The following is an 18184-nucleotide window of genomic DNA, read 5'->3' as shown; positions in this document are numbered from 1 at the left end:
CCCAGGCTCTGCCACTTTATTTATCTATTTTTATCATTTCTTTTTTTTTAACTTTAATTTAATTTTATGTTTTCATTATAGTTTAAGTTCTAGGGTACCTGTGCACAACGTGCAGGTTTGTTACATATGTATACATGTGCCATGTTGGTGTGCTGCACATGTTAACTCATCATTTACATTAGATATTTCTCCTCCCCACTCCCACCACCCCGCAACAGGCTCCCATGTGTGATGTTCCCCCGTGTCCAAGTGTTCTCATTGTTCAGTTCCCACCTATGAGTGAGAACATGTGGTGTTTGGTTTTCTTTCCTTGCAATAGTTTGCTCAGAATGATGGTTTCCAAATTCATCCATGTCCCTGCAAAGAACATGAACTCATCCTTTTTTATGGCTGCATAGTGTTCCATGGTGTACATTTACCACATTTTCTTAATCTAGTCTATCATTGATGGACATTTGGGTTGGTTCCAAGTCTTTGCTATTGTGAATAGTGCCACAATAAACATACGTGTGCATGTGTCTTTATAGCAGCATGATTTATAATCCTTTGGGTATATACCCAGTAATGGGATGGCTGGGTCAAATGGTATTTCTAGTTCTAGATCCTTGAGGAATTGCCACACTGTCTTCCACAATGGTTGAACTAGTTTATAGTACCATCAACAGTGTAAAAGTGTTCCTATTTCTCCACATCCTCTCCAGCACCTGATGTTTCCTAACTTTTTAATGATTGCCATTCTAACTGGTGTGAGATGGTATCTCAATGTGGTTTTGATCTGCATTTCTCTGATGGCCAGTGATAATGAGCATTTTTTCATGTGTGTGTTGGCTGCATAAATGTCTTCTTTTGAGAAGTGTCTGTTCATATCATTTGCCCAGTTTTTGATGAGGTTGTTTGATTTTTTTCTTCTAAATTTGTTTAAGTTCTTTGTAGATTCTGGGTATTAGCCCTTTGTCAGATGAGTAGATTGTAAAATTTTTCTCCCATTCTGTAGGTTACGTGTTCACTCTGATGGTAGTTTCCTTTGCTGTGTAGAAGCTCTTTAGTTTAATTAGATCCCCTCTGTCTATTTTGGTTTTTGTTGCCATTGCTTTTGGTGTTTTAGTCATAAAGTCCTTGCCCATGCCTATGTCCTGAATGGTATTGCCTAGGTTTTCTTCTAGGGTTTTTATGGTTTTAGATCTAACGTTTAAGTCTTTAATCCATCTTGAATTAATTTGTGTATAAGGTGTAAGGAAGGGATCCAGTTTCAGCTTTCTACTTATGGCTAGCCAGTTTTCCCAGCACCATTTATTCAATAGGGAATCCTTTCCCATTGCTTGTTTTTGTCAGGTTTGTCAAAGATCAGATGGTTTTAGATGTGTAATATTATTTCTGAGGGCTCTGCTCTGTTCCATTGGTCTATATCTCTGTTTTGGTACCAGTAGCATGCCATTTTAGTTACTGTAGCCTTGTAGTATAGTTTGAAGTCAGGTAGCGTGATGCCTCCAGCTTTGTTCTTTTTGCTTAGGATTGTCTTGGCAATGTGGGCTCTTTTTTGGTTCCATATGAATTTCAAAGTATTTTTTTTCCAATTCTGTGAAGAAAGTCTTTGGTAGCTTGATGGGGATGGCACTGAATCTATAAATTACCTTGGGCAGTATGGCCATTTTCACAATATTGATTCTTCCTATCCATAAGCATGGAATGTTCTTCCATTTGTTTGTGTCCTCTTTTATTTCGTTGAGCAGTGGCAATACCATCTTCTTGAGAAAACATTTGACTCAAGTGTTTCCTAAAGGATGAAAGCAGGAAAGTACATTTTCTATTCACTTCCAAAGGTACACTTGGCCCAGTACTGTCCTATTAGTGAGAGGGATAATAAGGACCAAAGTCATCATGGTATCAGCTGAGAAAATTAATTCAAATGACTGAAACATGCTTTCTCCTCCTTAGAGATGTTTTATATATATAGAAAATGTACATGTGCATAGATATGTGTATGTGTGTGCAATGTGAAATTTGCATTAATAGTTTGATTTCTATCTATGATTTTCCAGTTGATTTCATCTACAGGAAAAGTGTTTATTACCATTAATAACACTCGAATAACTTAAAATATTCCTATAGGATCTTGCCTTTTCCAACTCAAAGTACCAATAATATTATAATAGTGGAAACAACTTTGTTTATATGTTATTTGACTCGTTTTACTTTTTGCACACACTTTTTGTACTTATTTTACTTTTAGAAACCAAGAAACATTTGTTTGAATCCCAATACTAAATAACAAAGTGTTTGTGTGAACACTTTTCTTTTTCCATTTAGAAAAATTTGTACCAATTCAAATGCTTTATAAGAGTATACAAATTGCAGCAGTGCCTACCATAGTGAAAACATTGGAATAATATAATGGCTGTCAAAAGATTTGGTTAAGGCATGCAAAAACAGACACTTAGAAGGAATAAGTTTTAGTACTCAATAGTAAAGTATAAAAATTATAGTTAACAATGATTTATTGTATATGTCAGAATATCTAGAAGAGATGACTTGTGATGCTCCCAACACATACAAAAAAAAAGTTTGATGAGATGTATATTCCAATTACCCTGATTTCATCATCATACATTGAATACACATATCAAGATATCACATGTGCCCCCAAAATATATACAACTATTATGTATCAGTAAAAAAACTAATGACTGGAGTAAAATAGAAGGCAATACAAATGCTTACACTCATGCTAAAGACTTGTATTTATTGACTTGTATTTATGGTATAAACTACCTATCAATACATTTCCTAAAGTCGGTTACAAATCAGTTTATGAGTTCATGTGCAGGAAGTGTGTGTCTAGAAATTGTGGATGTGTGTATTCATAAAAGAATTTTAAAAACCATGTCAAAAGATTAATATTATTTTTGGTAAGAAGAATAAATAATTATAATAGTTTTATATATTTGCAGTAATTAAAAAATAGTAATATAATAAACACCTTTGTATCTGCCACTCAGTTTTAATTTATCTTAATGTTCTGTCACACTGGCTTCAGATCTGTTTTTTTTTACACTGATAAAATATTTTGGTACATTTAAAGTACCTTATGTTTTTTAAATTTTATTTTATTTTTTCTTTCTTTCTAGGAAGTAGTCTCTATCCTGAATTTGACTTTAATTTTCTGTTCAATTCTTAAAATTATTGGAAAACTTTTACTACATATATATGTTCTTTGACAATATATAATGTCTTTCGGCTTGTTTTTCATCGTTCATTACTTGGTATCATATTGAATTAACCATTTTTCAATATTTTCCCCATTCAACACTCTGTTATTGAGATATGTCAACTTTATGGGATTCTGGTTCATTTATCACCAGAGAAGCAAGAAAGCAAAGTGATTAAGATTAAAGCTTGAAGACAGACTAAATTAAAATCATAGCTTTGATGCTTACTAGCTTTGTGCTACCTTGTATATGGTACTTAACCTCACTGCACCTCGTTTTCCTCACCTATAAAATTATTTAATAGTTCTTATTTGACAGACTTGTGATAAGTATTAAGTGTGCTAATATTTGTAAGTTACCTAGAGCAGCATATGACGTGGTAATTTAAAAGAGTTTGTTAAAGAAATGACCTGTATCATATTCCATTATATGAAATGTATTCATCATATTTTGTTGAATCTTTAGATATCTCTTTTTTTACCATTGCACACTGTCCAGTATTCTGTTGCTAATAACATGTCTTTGAGGATGTCTCTGTGTGCATTTGCTCAGTCATTTCTGTAAGGTATGCTTGTGATGTGGAATTCTTGGGTCAGAAGATGCAGATGCTTGCTTTCTACATGGATTGCCATTGCACTAGCCATAGCTGTTTTCTCGCTTACAGTAAAATAATGTCTTCTATTACTGGAGAAAATTTAAATTTTAATAAAATCAAATGAATTGTGCTTTTCCCTTAAAATTTAATTTCCTTTATAATTTCATCATTTCATTAATAAATTATTCCATATCCTGGAGTTACAAAGATATCAAATAGGAGCCTATTTTTTCAGTTATGGATGACTTATCTACACTATTTATTAAATAGATTTTGAGAATGAAATTATTTTATTTTCTTGCTTAAGCTATCTTTTATTTGACATGTATTATTATCATTATAAATATATATTTAAATCAGAAAAAAAATAAATATTTCCATTCAAACAAAAAACATTGAACCTTTAGATTTCTCAATGATCCCATTGTCTTAACAGTAAGGAGACAGAAGAGAGGAGATCTAATACGAGTTGAGCCAGGTTCTAGGCTCCTGGTTAGACTTCATATGCAGAAGAAACTCTTATCACTGATCCCCATGGTGCTAAATATTTGAAGTACGCATCACTCCCCATTTCCTGTGTGAATCATGTTCTATTTCCATAGTATTTGGAATACTATACTTTTCTGTTTTCACTGATTTTCAATGAACCAATCAACTACCTGTTTCAGCAATGTAAGGTAAGTGACTTTCTACTGTAAATCACGTTATTTAATCCCTTTGATATTCCTATGAAGTACTTATAATTTCCAAATTTTTACAAGAAACCAAGGATCAGAAAGGTTACAATCATGCATAAGCTAAATAGCGGCAATATCAACATTTGAGCCCAGGTAGTAGTGAATCCAAACCAATATTTCTTTATTAACTGTATCATCATTTATTTTTCTTGGAGATAAGACTTAATATTTAAATCAGAATATCTTTGGGTTCACTCACAACACTTTCTTTTAGTTAACATAGTAATCTAAAACCCTAACTGTAAAGGAATTTATATCTTCTTTTCCTTTCTTTTTTTCCCTTTTTTTCCTTCTTTTCAGAGACCAAGTTTTACTCTGTGACCCAGGTTGGAGTGCAGTGATCACAGCTCACTCTAGCCTTGACCTCCCAGGCTCAAGTGATCCTCCAACCTCAGTTTCTCCAGCAGCTGGGACTAGAGGCACACACCACCACACCAACTAATTTTTATTTTCAGTTTTTGTAGAGACAAGTATCTTACTATGTTGCCCAGTCTGGTCTCAAAACTCCTGGGCTTAAGTGATCCTCCTGCCTTGGCCTCCCAAAGTGCTGGGATTACAGGTGTGAACCCCCATGCCTGGCCCTGATATTTTCCACTCTCCTTTTAAGTGAACTTTGAAGTCAAAATTCTATGGCTCTAAATTATATGGCTCACCTGAAATGTAAATACTTACCAGCACAGAAAGAAGTAATGAGGTTTTGATGGAAGTATTCCTATCTCAGAGTTAACTGTGGATATTTGTTGTACAAAAATTCATTGTTTTCTAAAAGTGAGATACATTGAAAGGAAAACATTAGGAGCCTATTAAAAATAAAGCTTAAATCACCATTTGTTTTAATTTTCTTCAAAAATTTGACTTTTGTTCACATCTCTATAAACATGTGGAGTATGTTTTTTGACAATGCAGTTACTTCCGGCATTGATAAAACCAAATAACACAAACACTCAAGGCTGTTTCCGAAAACTGAAATACAGATTTCATAACAGCCAACCACATCCTGAGTCATGCTTAAATGAGTGACACAATACAAATGTATCCTTTCTAACGTGGAAATTCTTTCAATCATCAGGCCAGCTATTGTTTGTAGCTCCTCACTTTCTTGCACAATCCTCCCTCCATTATTGTTTTGCTGTATGTCTAATTGTGGGGCTCTCCATGTTGCTATTATGAGTTTTCTAGCTGTGGATACAGATGTCACATCAATTGCAACTCTGTTTCATAGGTTATTTGGATATATTGTCTGCCATCTACAATTGGACAACTGATTGCCATGCATGAATTGCTCTAACTTCCTTCTTTTATCCAATTTCAAAACAAAGACAAACGTATCCTGCTAAGCTGCAATGAGGACAGATCTTGAGACATGAGGAGGCACTTCACACTGAATCCCCATTCTTGGGAATTTGGTATTGCTATTTCCTGAATGTAAGAACACTTTGGTGTCATAAATAAAGTCTAAGATATAAAAGACATTAACTTTTCCTCTGGGACAACAGCAGTACTTAGAAGTGCTTTCATAAGAAAAATATCTTGCAAATAAATTCTAGTCCTTTATTGCTCACAGTATCTTTGCAAAGTTCTTCCTATTAATCGAATTCTATTTTCAAAGGAAGGCCTGTTTTTGTACTATTCATTTATTTTTTATCTTGTCACTCAGAATTTTGCTAATTGGCTATAAAAATCAACTTTCTCTTTTCAGGTTAGCAAATCAACATTTTTTTTTAATCTATAGGAATCAACATAAGATGGGCTTGCAGGTCAAATTGCTGGGTTCAAATATTGACTCTGTTTTTACTAAATGGGTAACTGTCATTAAGTCTATTTCTCTGTGTCCAAGTCTTCATTTGTCAAATGAATTACAATTGGACAGATTTTACAGCTTAGGTAAAGGTTAAATTAGCTAATACATGAAAAAGATTTAGCAAAACAGCTAGGTTATACAGTCAGGTATAACATTGAAAAATATTAGCTCTAATAATTTTGGCCATGTTAGCTCTTAATAAAATGCATATATACAGGCAATATTGCTAAGTTTTGATTCAATCTTTCTCTTTGTAAGGCACCCTTATTTATTCCTAATTTATTCCTTTTGTCTTTACATTGTATTATTTATGTTGTTCAAAATCAAATATAATTCCTCTATCCTTATCCCATGTTTGTTGGATTATTTTGTTTATAAAGTGTATTTATTTGTCTAACCTTTCAATCAAGTGACAAGAATCTTGTCATTTACTGCCCAGGATAAAGAGGATAGATGGAATAAATAAGGTTGGCCCAGAGGAGTGATACAGATTTGCATGTGTGTCTCTGCCCAAATCTCATTTTGAATTGTTATCTCCAGTCTTGGAGGTGGGGCCTGGATGGAGGTGAATGGATCATGGGGGCAGATTTCTCGTGCACAGTTTAGCACCATCTTCTCGGTTCTGTCCTCAGGATAGTGAGTAAGTTCTCATGAAATCTGGGTGTTTAAAAGCAGCTGCATCCTGGCTGGGCATGGTGGTTCATGCCTGTAATCCCAGCAGTTTGGAAGGCTGAGGCAGGAAGATCACAAGGTCAAGAGATCGAGACCATGCTGGCCAACATGGTGAAAACCCGTCTCTACCTAAAAAAATACAAAAATTAGCTGGGTGTGGTGGCACACGCCTGTAGTCCCAGCTACTCAGGAGGCTGAGGCAGGAGAATTGCTTGAACCAGGGAGGCAGAGGTTGCAGTGATCCTAGATCGTGCCACTGCACTTAAGCCTGGCAACAGAGCAAGAGTGTGTCAAAATAAATAAATAAATAAATAAATAAATAAAAATTTAAAAAGCAGCTGCATCCTGACCACTCCAGCTCTAGCTCAAAGAGGCCCAGGTACAGCTTCAGCTGCTGCTTCAGAGGGTGCAAGCCTTAAGCCTTGGAGGCTTCCACTTGGTTTTAAGCCTGCAGGTGCACAGAGTGCAAGAGTTGAGGCTTGGGAGCCTCCACCTAGATTTCAGAGAATGTATGGAAAAGCCCAAGTGTCCAAACAGAGACCTACCCAGGGTCAGAGCCCTTACGGAGAACCTATACTAGTGTAATGCAGAGAGAAGATACGCGTTGGAGACCCTACACAAAATCCTCACTGGGGCACTGCCTAATGGAGCTGTGTGAAGAGGGCTACTGTCTCCCTGACCCAGAATAGTAGCTACAGTAGTAGCTTACACCCTCAGCATAGAAAATCTGCAGGCACTCAACAACCTGTAATAGCAGCCTCTGGGGCTGAACCCTGCAAAAGCCACAGGGCTAGAGCTGCTAGAGGCTTTAGGAGCCTACCCCTTGCATCATTGTTCCCTGGATGTGAAACATAGAGTCAAAGGAGGTTATTTTGGAGCTCTTAAAATGACTGCCCTGCTGGGTTTCAAACATGCGTGGAGCCTATAATACCTTTCTTTTGGCTAACTTATCCCTTTTGGAAGGGGAATGTTTACCCAATGCTTGTATTCCCATTGTATCCTGGAAATAACTAACTTATTTTTTATTTTACAGGCTCATAGGTGGAAGGGACTTGCCTTGCCTCAGAGGAGACTTTCGACTTTTGAGTTAACACTGGAATGAGTTAACACTTTGGGGGATTGTTGGAAAGGCATGATTGGATTTTGAAATATGAGAAGGACATGAGATTTTGAAGGGGTCAGGGGGCTAATGACAGTGTCTCCACCCAATTCTTATATTGAAATGTAATCCCTAGTGTTGGAGGTGGGGCCTGGTGGGAGGTGATTGGATCATGGTGGTAGATTTCCCATAAACTGTTTAGCACCATCTGCTTGGTACTGTCCTTACAATACTGAGTGAGTTCACATGAGATCTGGTTGTTTAAAGTGTGTAGCACCTCCCCCTCGGTTCTCTTGTTCCTGCTTTCGCCTTGTGATGTGCCTGCTACCTCTCTGACTTCTGCCATGACTGGAAGCTTCTTAAGACTTCCCTAGAAGCAGATGCTTCCATGCTTCCTGTACAGCCTGTAGAATTATGAACCAATTAAACTTCTTTTCTTATACATCACCCAGTCTCAGACATTTCTTTATAGACATGCAAGAATAGACTAACACAAGGAGGAAACAAAAGGTGATGAATTGCACCAAGTACAGGATCATAAGAATAAATGGGGCCTGTGATGAGCATGATTGTCCCCTATGTCCCCCTTTAAAAAGTCAATATTGAAATATGCTTAAAAGTGCTAGGGTAAGCATTTTGAATTTGATTCCAACTACTAAATTTTCAAGCCCATGTCTAATGTATTAGGCCTAGGAATGGCTTCAAAAGTTTAAGATTTATCAACTTTAAGGGAAGCATAGAACTAATAATTCCTGCACGTATATTCTACTCTAAAAATATAGGAGTAGAACTGACATTTTCTGGGGTGCTGTTGTGTTCCTATGGCCAAAAACATCATATTCCACAAAGGCAGGTAAAACACAGATTATATAATTTTCTTCCAAGCAAACTGAGGTGACACTGAGCCCTCATTCTGTAGGATTGCCAGGAAATTCATGCTCACCTATGTGTCTGTGGTGAGGTTTTTATCCTTCCCTGGAACATGTATACATATAGGAGGTCTAGTTGTGGGGGAAAAAAAGGAAAAGTAAAGAAAGCTGGAAATTATCCTTTAGTTTGCTTGTATGGTCCCAGGCAGGCAGGTGGTTTACTGCTTTAAAGTGGAGGGTAGGAGACCCTGTGAGAGATTTCAATCTCCCTGGGTAAGCAGGGTAGACAGACCTTCTCAAGGCCATTTTATTTTCCCAGGGTATGGGTAAGAGTTCATGCCAGTCTCAGAAATTCAGTCAGGCTTCTTTGCCTGTTTGGGAAGACATCCTGTTACTTTTGCTTGCTTCTATTTGCTCCTTTAAAATAATCTTTCTAATGAACTCAATCTTATAAAAACTGAAGGCAAGAGGAAAACATCTTGAGACAACCTCTTAGCCTAAAAAAATTCCTCTGAGGTAAAAAAAGCACAAAGTCCTAGCTAAAAGAACAGAAAAAGAGGGGGGAAATATCCAGATTGCAAAATGTAAATAGCAATTTATTTTAATTTTTCAACTGTAATAAAAACAAAATAGTAATTAATATCTCAGTAAATTATCTTGATGTAGCTTCATGTTTCATATGTATTAACTCATCTGGCTTATATAACAAACCAATTTTAAGAGGAGAAAACTTGGCCTCAGATTGGCCAAAGCCCAATAATATGACTTAAAGAACTAAGAACTAAACAAGGTGAGATATGATAGGGTTTGGCTGTGTCCCCACCCAAATCTCATCTTGAATTCTAGTTTCCATAATCCCAATGTGTTGTGGGAGGGATCCAGTGGGAGGTAATTGAATCATGGGGGTGCTTACCCCTATGCTGCTGTTCTCATGATAGTGAATGAGTTCTCACAAGAGCTGATGGTTTTATAAGGAGCTTTTCCCCCTTTTGCTTGGCACTTCACCATGCTGCCACCAAGTGAAGAAGGACGTGTTTGCTTCTCTTTCCACCATGATTGTAAGTTTCCTGAGGCTTCCCCAGCCATGCTGAACTGTGAGTCAACGAAAACTCTTTCCTTTATAAACTTACCCAGTCTTGGGTATGTCTTTACTAGCAGCATGAGAGTGAATTAATACAAGGTCAAAATCTGAATGTATCTTCCTGCATAGGTCTCGTTCCTTTTAATAGACCAGTCTGGTGGGAAATATGTTTCTTTCTGGAAAATAGTGCTATCCCAAACTGGAGAACCAGTTTTGGGGGCCGTGGCATAAATCATACCACAGATCTGTCTGTTGATCTTTTTGCAATGTGCTGCAAGTAACTAGACCGTAGAGCTTGCTCTGGATAACACCTTGCATCTACAAAATGACTGTTCACCATGGACCTCAAATTTCTGGGCTTGGTGCATCTGATTGGTATAACCAATCTCCTGCCTTAACTGACAGGAAGCCTGAGTAAGCATTTGTCTGGCCTTTTCAGCTTCAATAACACAAGGCAGCTTTGCTAACTAACTAAATTTATGAAGTGAAGGGATCATCAAGTATTGGACGAAGTTCAGATGCAGGTTGGCCAAAATAAAAAATAAGTGGCCTCTATATTGAATAAAATGCAGCTTAGACACTAGCACCTTAATAAAAACAAGAGTTTCATTTGGTGAAAAGATTTCAAATGGAAATGGATTGGTTCCCTTCAGAGTGGCAGCTAACAGAGTGGCTTTTGGAAAAAATCATTCCTAAATGCATTGGGCTGCTTCTTGCTTGTGGAACAGAAATTACTGACTATTGGTTAAAATGCCATGTGAATTAATTTTCAGCCTCATTTATTCTCTGGCTAAGCATAAAAGCAATTTCAAAAGGAGAAAAATGGCCGCAATATGCATTGCCACAAATCTTTTGAGATATGAAAAATATCTGCAACTAGTATAATTAATTCAAACAACTATCACTGTTGTAGTTAGCAGTTCTGCATGTGTTCTTTGCAGATTCACAGAAAAAGAAAAAAAATTGTTTAATCTTAGATTACAGTTATTCCTTTTAGTATCTAATTTACTTATAATTGCTCCACCTTAAGATAATATATTTTAGCTTAGAAACCACCCTCTATAAACCTTCTCACTAGGGATTGGTTGGATGATTTAATTAATTCTTTTTTCTAATTAATCGTCTCCTCTCACCATAAGAAGAATAGTTATTTGTTGACTATTGGTTACTGTTGCTGTTTTCTATCACTACCATAGATTAAATGGCAGTTTCTTTAATTACTTAAAATAATTTCACCAAACAAGATGAGTCTTATGAAGATGAAACAATGTCTAAAAACTGTGATGAAACAGATATTGCAGCTACAGAAAACGAGTGAAAAAGCGACATGGCAATGACAACCTTTGCATATTTCATGCATGCCTCTACTAATGAGCTAAATTAGTATACATTCATTTCCGGATGACTGTATGGAAGTAAATTAAAGATAAAAACTGAATCTAAAATAAAGGTGATGTTTATCATTTGCATCAAACCAGAATCTTCTAGGTAGGATAGTGCTACTGTATTATTGGAATTTTTGATATTATTTAAGATAGACTCAGATGACTAATTGTTTTATCTTTGTTTTTTTTTTTGAGACAGAGCCTCGCTCTCACTTTACATAAACTGTTTTTTACAATATACTCTGCAGTGGAGAGATAGGAAAGATTGGAAAACAAGATTGAAAACATTTTAACCCTCAGATTATAATGAAATAAAAAATAAATTGGATTCTTTAAGTAATTTGTATCTGTACTTTTAAATTTATGCCCTTACTGTTCTTTTTTATAAGGACTAAAAACTGTTTTCCAAGTCATTTTTTATTATTAGAGCTCTTAAACTATCTGAGAGGCATTTGTAATATCCCCCTAAATTGATGTATGGCCTTGAGAAAGTAATTCAACCATTTTAATTATTGGACATTATAAAAGTATATCCTGGTGTGTGCTGAATGACACATGACTGATCACAACATGACATTTCTTTTAGGGAAGTTTTCATATTTATTTTCTGAAGAGATGCATTACATAGCACACCCTGGGTCTCTGTGGTCAGAGGCCCTGATTAAAGAACAAAATGTCAAAACCAGTAAAAGACCGCTAGCAAGACTAATAAAGAAGAAAAGAGAGAAGAATCAAATAGACGCAATAAAAACTGATAAAGGGGATATCACCACCGATCCCACAGCAATACAAACTACCATTAGAGAATACTATAAACACCTCTACGCAAATAAATTAGAAAATCTAGAAGAAATGGATAAATTCCTGGACACATACGCCCCCCCAAGACTAAACCACGAAGAAGTTGAATCCCTGAATAGACCAATAACAGGCTCTGAAATTGAGGCAATAATTAATAGCCTACCAACCAAAAAAAGTCCAGGACCAGACGGACTCACAGTCGAATTCTACCAGAGGTATAAGGAGGAGCTGGTACCATTCCTTCTGAAACTATTCCAATCAATAGAAAAAGAGGGAATCCTCCCTAACTCATTTTATGAGGCCAGCATCATCCTGATACCAAAGCCTGGCAGAGACACAACCAAAAAAGAGAATTTTAGACCAATATCCCTGATGAACATCAATGCAAAAATCCTCAATAAAATACTGGCAAACCGAATCCAGCAGCACATCAAAAAGCTTATCCACCATGATCAAGTGGGCTTCCTCCCTGGGATGCAAGGCTGGTTCAACAAATGCAAATCAATAAACGTAATCCAGCATATAAACAGAACCAAAGACAAACACCACATGATTATCTCAATAGATGCAGAAAAGGCCTTTGACAATATTCAACAGCCCTTCATGCTAAAAACTCTCAATAAATTAGGTACTGATGGGACGTATCTCAGAATAATAAGAGCTATTTATGACAAACCCATAGCCAATATCATACTGAATGGGCAAAACCTGGAAGCATTCCCTTTGAAAACTGGCACAAGATAGGGATGCCCTCTCTCACCACTCCTATTCAACAAAGTGTTGGAAGTTCTGGCCAGGGCAATCAGGCAGGAGAAAGAAATAAAGGGTATCCAGTTAGGAAAAGAGGAAGTCAAATTGTCTCTGTTTTCAGATGACATGATTGTATATTTGGAAAACCCCATCATCTCAGCCCAAAATCTCCTTAAGCTGATAAGCAACTTCAGCAAAGTCTCAGGATGCAAAATCAATGTGAAAAAATCACAGGCATTCTTATACACCAATAACAGATAGAGAGTTAAATTTGATATTTTAAGTACTATAGTTCTGCTTTCAGATGCCATGACTTGCTAGATGTTCATTAAATCATTAATATTTTTATTTTACAGCTTATATATACTGGAAGACTTTTTAACATGCATTCTACAAGTTCATTCTACAAAAAAATGTTAGCAAGTTCTTTGTGGTAGATTTTAGAGATATTGTGAACAAAACAGACACAGCTCTTAAACACATGTTGTTTCAGTCCTGTGGGTGAAGCAGATACTCACAAAATAATAAAAAAGGAAGTTTGATAGGTGAATCAATTGTAATCCTAAAAACTCCTGTCACCAGCACCATGTCAACATACACAGTAGGCTGGTTCGACTTCTTGTCTTACTCTAGATGTTTCTAAAAGCCCAAAAACTTATTTATTGTGTTTCCATTGCTAAGTTATCTACAGAAAATTAAAAATGAAAGTGGGATGTTTCTCACTTGCAGAAAAAGGAATCCATAAAAGGAGAGTTGGTACTTGAGATAGCAAATCTAAGTATGGAAACCCATAGCTTGCCTTCTCTCTGTATCTAAGATTGTGAAAGTAGAATACGAAGGGCCATGCTTTTAAAATGACAGTTACGCGTGTAAGAAACAAATGCCCTGGAGTTGGCATCTCAAGGGAAAAGGAAAAAAGTAGTTGGACCTGTGACTTCTTTGTAGGATGGTGCAAGTTTTGTACTGCACAATACTGAAGGAACCATTCATAGCAAGCTTGTAATAAAGTGCATGACTTGTATGAATATACATGGTGGCCCTGAGTAGATTTCTATGTAAACTCCTACTCTAAACTTATGATATAGGATCTAACCCTGTCTCTCAGCCTTTCAACTGTGCAGTGGCAGCAAGTAGATCAAGATTTACTGACCTATTCATGCAGGGTACCAAGAGTAGTCAAAAAGCTAAGTCAGAAGAGAGGTTCTTCCCCCCTAGTTTCCAGTACCATAGGTTAGTAACCTTTATCAAACAGAATTAGAGACAATAACATTAAATCAACAAATTCATCAGGTAACCAGAGAGCTAGAACTACCAAGTCTTTAAGAGGCTGAGAAACATTTGTGTTGGGATCTGAAATGAATATCTGAAAGGCAGTTAAATGTGTGTAGACAGATTAATACAATGGGTATAAACATTTCCAAAGATTTCATTTAATCACTCTCATTATTTCATGCCACTTCTTGGCTATGATATTTTCAGGAATACTTTTGCTTCTATCTTCAAGTATGAATAGAATTTTTAAAAAATGAGCATGTCTCAAAAAATTTGAGAGAGCCACTGGTTCAGTTGTAACAAAGCCCTTGGAAGCTTTCCATTATATTTAAATTTACATCAGCTAAGCATTGTTCAGGCATATAACATGTGCTAAATAGGTGTCTGTATATGTCTACAAAAGGTAATATTTTTAGAGAAACCTAAAACTAATATTAAATGACATGATATGAATATCAAGCTGGTATGAATAAAAGTAGAGCAGGACTTGTTTCCTCAGGTCTCGCTGACCGAAACTTTCAGCAGATAATAATTAGTATAATCAATGGCAATTTTTGCACTTTAATACAGTACAATTCAATGGTACTAAAGGTTGCCTTTCAAGAAAACTATTAAAGTTAAAAGGTAATAATGCTGAGAAACATGTTAACTGATAGAAATTGTAACCTCCACAATATTAGCAACAATGATCTTAACCCTTGGCTTATAGATCCGATTCAAACGTTGACCAAGAGAGCCAGGAGATTCTAATTCACTCCAATGTCTTTACTCAACATTCCTCCATTCGTTTCCTCATTCATTTCACAAATATTAATTGAGGACCTTCTATATTCTAGGCCCGGTGCTGGGTAAATTAGAGAAAATGAGGAACAAAACCACACCTGGAATCTGAAACTAAAATTAACTTTTTCCAGCAATGTCCTATTGTGTCCGGAATTGGTGGGTTCTTGGTCTCACTGACTTCAAGAATGAAGCCGCGGACCCTCGCGGTGAGTGTTACAGCTTTTAAGGTGGCACGTCTGGAGTTTGTTCCTTCTGATGTTTGGATGTGTTCAGAGTTTCTTCCTTCTGGTGGGTTCACGGTCTCGCTGGCTCAGGAGTAAAGCTGCAGACCTTTGCAGTGAGTGTTACAGCTCTTAAGGCGGCGCGTCTGGAGTTGTTCGCTCCTCCCAGTGGGCTTGTGGTCTCGCTGGCTTCAGGAGTGAAGCTGCAGATCTTCGCGGTGAGTGTTACAGCTCATAAAAACAGTATGGACCCGAAGAGTGAGCAGTAGCAAGATTTATTGCAAAGAGCGAAGGAACAGAGCTTCCACAGTGTGGAAGAAGACCGCAGCAGGTTGCCACTGCTGGCTCAGGCAGACTGCTTTTATTCTCTTATCTGGCCCCACCCACATCCTGCTGATTGGTAGAGCCTAGTGGCCTGTTTTGACAGGGCACTGATTGGTGCATTCACAAACCCTGAGCTAGACACAGGGTGCTGACTGGTGTGTTTACAAACCTTGAGCTAGATACAGAGTGCCGATTGGTGTACTTACAATCCTTGGGCTACACATAAAGATTCTCCACCTCCCCACCAGACTCAGGAGCCCAGCTGGCTTCACCCAGTGGATCCTGCAGGGGGGCTGCAGGTGGAGCTGCCTGCCAGTCCCGTGCGGTGGGCCTGCACTCCTCAGCACTTGGGTGGTTGATGGGACTGGGCGCCCTGGAGCAGGGGGCGGCGCTCATCCGGGAGGCTCGGGCTGCATAGGAGCCCACGGAGGGGGTGGGAGGCTCAGGCATGGCGGGCTGCAGGTCCCGAGCCCTGCCCCTCGGGAAGGCAGCTAAGGCCCCGTGAGAAATCAAGGGCAGCACCGGTGGGCTGGCACTGCTGGGGGACCCAGTACACCCTCCGCAGCCGCTGGCCCGGGTGCTAAGCCCCTCATTGCCCGGGCCGGCAGAGCCAGCCGGCTGCTCTGAGTGTGGGGCCCGCCAAGCCCACGCCCACCCGGAACTCCAGCTGGCCCGCAAGCGCCGCGGGCAGCCCCGGATCCCGCTCCTGCCTCTCCCTCCACACCTCCCTGCAAGCTGAGGGAGCCGGCTCCGGCCTTGGCCAGCCCAGAAAGGGGCTCCCACAGTGCAGCGGTGGGCTGAAGGGCTCCTCCACGGCCGCCAAAGTGGGAGCCCAGTCAGAGGAGGCACTGAGAGCTAGCGAGGGCTGTGAGGACTGCCAGCATGCTGTCACCTCTCACTGTCTATAAAGTTAAATAGAGAATAATCAGTAATAATTTCAATTTTTTTGACAGCTCAAAATACTCTTATTTGAGCCTAAGAAGAGAACTAAGAGGAGAAAGGAATGTGCAGCTGTGAGGGTCTTAAAAGCAAATGAATCTAAGGTCTGTTTCCTAGTGCTACCTTTAGGTACAGAATCATCCCTTCTCCTTATTTTAGGATGGAATCATCCCTTCTCCTTATTTTACCTGGTATAGTGTTAAAGTATAGATAAGACATATTTGTTAGAAATAAGTATTTTTGTATTGAGCCTAATATCCAGATGTGAATTTCATTATGATTAATCACTATATTTGTTATAGGCAGCAAAATGTCACCAAATTTCATAGCATTGTAACAAAAATTAGCGTAGTTGCAGTTTGCTGTTGCAATAGTAATATAAATATTAAACATGACTTAAAATTATATATATATATACACACACACAAAGAGAAGGGAAGTAAATATTCATAAAATTGTATTGAACAATATTTACTTATTTTAAATACACTACGCATAAAACCACATGTTTATCACTGTGGTATTATATGGCGTTTATATTCTTAACAATTTTTTCCAGGTTTAAGATTTGTAGGAAACCACATAACTGTCTTTGTGGTCTTGTATCTGAATGGTAGAAAGGGCTAAGAAAGAAGTATTTCCTACTCCACTAGAGGATATAGCACTCGGAAAATCCATGGATGAACATTGCTAAAAAGGAATGTGTGAAGAGCTAAACTGAGGAAGGAGCAGAAATTCATGAGTAATTCAGCTCTGCCTTTAACCAACCAGCCTTCCTGCCTTATTCCTGGAAATTTGGCCACTGGTAACTTTTAGGGCCACAGTTGAGCCACTGGTGCATTCCATTCTCAAGGTCCAGTCCATACTCCTAAAATCCACTCAAGAAGTGCGGGGACAGGTGAGAAGTCAGGCCAAAACATATGGACTATGATGCATGTTGAGAAGCTTTCACTAGCACAAGCAAACAATTTTTAAATGCTTACGAGTGAAGTAGAAATATTTTTCATAACAATGACCTTGTCTGCTTTCTCTTTTGGGGTCTCTTACCCTTGGAACTCTACACAGCTGTCAGAAAGAGATAAATGAATTCTTAGAGTTTGGGTAAGTGAATTAGTAATGATTTTCCTTGGTCATATTTTTCTAGACCTCTCTTCAGGAGCATGCAAACTCCCCAAAAGACCTAGTTTTGTATGTCACGAAAGCTGATATGGATTAAATAAAAGGAATCCTAGTGCCTCAGATATGTTCTATACTTCTTCACAAAGTCTGTCATTCCACACAGATTTAGGGAAAGCACTAAATTCCAGATAACCTGCACACTTCTTTTGGAGATATAAAGGGAGAGGTTTTAGAAGATATCTATAAAGACATGATTTGAGGACTCTATTCCTAGCTTAACACTTGTTACAGTATTGTCCTCTGTCTTTCTTTCTGGTGTTTGTGTGATAACAGCCCTGCTTCTTATCAAAAAGACTATAGGCTGAGTCTTGGTGATAAAGCAAGTGGTAAATGGCACACTTAGAAAATGTTTTTACTCCCATGAAATGTATAGTGAGATAAGATCATAATTCTTTAGGTCTTCATTAATTAGAAAATGGTATACAGGAAGAGAAATGGAAAAAAACTTATATTGTTCATCCTCTTGTTTG

General features: G+C 37.8%; 2 annotated features.

Moving 5' to 3' along the window:
• Window positions 4244-4444: a silencer, noted in NCBI's record as "peak5373 fragment used in MPRA reporter construct". NCBI's record gives its function as "represses an SCP1 promoter by STARR-seq MPRAs in K562 erythroleukemia cells {active_cell/tissue: K562}" and the evidence as "EXISTENCE:reporter gene assay evidence [ECO:0000049][PMID:32103011]".
• Window positions 5484-5684: a silencer, noted in NCBI's record as "peak5372 fragment used in MPRA reporter construct". NCBI's record gives its function as "represses an SCP1 promoter by STARR-seq MPRAs in K562 erythroleukemia cells {active_cell/tissue: K562}" and the evidence as "EXISTENCE:reporter gene assay evidence [ECO:0000049][PMID:32103011]".

The sequence above is a fragment of the Homo sapiens genome, chromosome 5 (assembly GCF_000001405.40).
Source record: "Homo sapiens chromosome 5, GRCh38.p14 Primary Assembly".
NCBI lineage: Eukaryota > Metazoa > Chordata > Mammalia > Primates > Hominidae > Homo > Homo sapiens.
This window is presented reverse-complemented; position numbering and strand designations above follow the sequence as displayed.